Source organism: Homo sapiens, chromosome 2, assembly GCF_000001405.40.
Source record: "Homo sapiens chromosome 2, GRCh38.p14 Primary Assembly".
NCBI lineage: Eukaryota > Metazoa > Chordata > Mammalia > Primates > Hominidae > Homo > Homo sapiens.
In genome coordinates, this window is record NC_000002.12 from 230,843,676 (window position 1) to 230,846,543 (window position 2,868).

General features: G+C 47.2%; 1 annotated feature.

Annotated features, from left to right (window-relative positions):
- Positions 1 to 626: an enhancer, noted in NCBI's record as "NANOG-H3K27ac hESC enhancer chr2:231708391-231709016 (GRCh37/hg19 assembly coordinates)". NCBI's record gives its function as "activates a minimal SCP1, AML or CMV promoter by ChIP-STARR-seq in primed H9 embryonic stem cells {active_cell/tissue: H9 hESC(primed)}" and the evidence as "EXISTENCE:reporter gene assay evidence [ECO:0000049][PMID:30033119]".

A 2,868-nucleotide genomic window follows, 5' to 3' on the forward strand; every position in this document is an offset into this window, starting at 1 on the left:
TCTCGTAAGGTGGAACGAGAGACTTAGGAAAGAAAAAGACACAGACAAAGTATAGAGAAAGAAATAAGGGGACCCGGGGGACCAGCGTTCAGCATATGGAGGATCCCGCCAGCCTCTGAGTTCCCTTAGTATTTATTGATCATTCGTGGGTGTTTCTCCGAGAAGGGGATGTGTCAGGGTCACAAGACAATTGTGGGGAGAGGGTCAGCAGACAAACACGTGAACAAAGGTCTTTGCATCATAGACAAGGTAAAGGATTAAGTGCTGTGCTTTTAGATATGCATACACATAAACATCTCAATGCTTTACAAAGCAGTATTGCTGCCCGCAGGTGCCACCTCCAGCCCTAAGGCGGTTTTTCCCTATCTCAGTAGATGGAACATACAATCGGGTTTTATACCGAGACATTCCATTGCCCAGGGACGGGCAGGAGACAGACGCCTTCCTCTTGTCTCAACTGCAAGAGGCATGCCTTCCTCTTATACTAATCCTCCTCAGCACAGACCCTTTACGGGTGTCGGGCTGGGGGACGGTCAGGTCTTTCCCTTCCCACGAGGCCATATTTCAGACTATCACATGGGGAGAAACCTTGGACAATACCTGGCTTTCCTAGGCAGAGGTCCCTGCGGCCTTCCGCAGTTTTTGTGTCCCTGGGTACTTGAGATTAGGGAGTGGTGATGACTCTTAATGAGCATGCTGCCTTCAAGCATCTGTTTAACAAAGCACATCTTGCACCGCCCTTAATCCATTCAACTCTGAGTTGACACAGCACATGTTTCAGAGAGCACGGGGTTGGGGGTAAGGTCACAGAATCTCAAGGCAGAAGAATTTTTCTTAGTACATAACAAAATGGAGTCTCCTATGTCTACTTCTTTCTACACAGACACAGTAACAATCTGATCTCTCTTGCTTTTCCCCACACTATTGCCTTTGTCATCCTCACCCATCCATCCATCCATCCAGCCAGCCAGCCAGCCAGCCATTCATTCAGCCATCCATGTGGCCATCCAAACATCTATCAACCAGGGGCAATTTTGCAAGGAACTTCCAGCAATGCCTAGAGATAGATATTCTTTGGTTATCACAATTGGTGGTGAGGAGCAGGATGCTTCTGGCATCCAGTAGTTGGAGACCAGGGATGTTACTAATGCAGAGGACAGCCCATACAACTGAGTTTTTCAGCCTAAAATAACAATGGTCCCAAGGTTGTGAAACTCTGTATCCAGCCAGCCATCCTACCATCCAGGCATATCTTTATCTATTTATTCCTTCTGTATTTACCTTAACGACTATGTGGTTCATCCTGGAAAGACTACAGGTAAGGTTTGCTCATAGGCCCCCATCCCAATCTTTAATGGTGTTTTATACCTTCCCATTCATGTCTGAGAAGATAATTTAGTTATTAAAAGACAGAAAATACCTTAACAATGTACTTTGGTCTCTGGATATGTCTACTGGCACTGGCAGGTGGGGGGCTGTCTAGACAGACACCCAGAAACATTCCCCACTTCTTGAGCAGGAATCCCAGTGACCAGGGACTCACTGATACTAGGGAATCTCACAAGGTGATCAGTTTGCAGTGCAGAGTGGCACCATCCCCACGGATCTCTCCCTGTGGCTGCCAGGCAGGACACCCAAGACTTCCAGTCTCTGTCTTCGTCTTACCCTGCTTCTCTGCAGCATGTGACACAGTTGACTACACCTTCCCTGTTAGAGCATGATCCTCCCTTGGCTTCTGTGCACCACACATTCCTGATAGAAGGAGGCCTCCTCGTCACCGTGCTGGTTTCTTCCCCTCTTCTGCTCAACCTCTAAATGTGCACAAGCCCCAAGGCTTCATCCTGGCCTTTGGCTGCTCCTTCTATGGGTTATTCCCAGGTATTCTCATTCAGCCTCATGACTTTCAATTCCCTGTAAGCTGAATCCCAAATCTGTATCTCCAGCCCAGCCTCCTCCCAGGATCCACGTATCAAACTGCTACTTAATGTCTCCTGGATGCTTAAAGGACATCTCAAACCCAACACAACTGAGATAATTCTCCCCCATTCCCCTCTCCACGGGCTTCCATTTCACAACCATCTACCCTGTTCTTTAGACCAAAAGCCTGGGAGTCATCCTGGAGTCCTCTCTTTCCTTCCTACCTCCCCTCACATCCAATTCTTCTCCATGTTCTTCTGACTCTATTTACAAACATAGTGCAACTCCACCCACTTCTCTCTATATCCCAGAATATAAAGCCTCCCTAAAAGCAGGGACCCGGTCAATCCCTCACTGTTATTTCCAGTGCCTGGCACACAGTAGGTGCTCATTAAATGAAACTTCAGGTGGGTGGTGAACACCCTTCTCCTAAGTCAAGCGAAATTAGAAACCAAAAGGTTGTCTAGTAGGCATCCGACAGGGCAGCAGGCAGCACAGTGGAGGGGGTGTCTCAAGGACTATTTCAGCAGATGATGGAAATACGCAATGACTTTCCCCAGACCTGCAGACTCGATTTGTTGTTTAGTTCGCTCTGAACTTCATGTGTCCCTTCCTTGGGCTTGATTCACCTCCACCCCTTAGCAAGCAGCTGGTGCTTATTACACTGTTGGTTAAATGAATGAGTTTTTGAAAGCTTTCAAGTCCCTATCCTTTGAGCTCCCTGTTCTACCTCCTCTGAACACATTCTTTCCTCACACCAGGTACAGCATGACTAGTTAGGCCTCAGCTTGCCTAAGGCCTATTTACAAATAATGTCTTAGAGTGGGTCATTCCTTTCAACCATTATACTTTGATTTTTCTTAATTTCATTCTAAGGATCACATTATCTAAGTGTGTTAGTTTGCTAAGGTTGCCGTAACAAAGTACCGCGGACTGGGTGGCTGGAAGTCC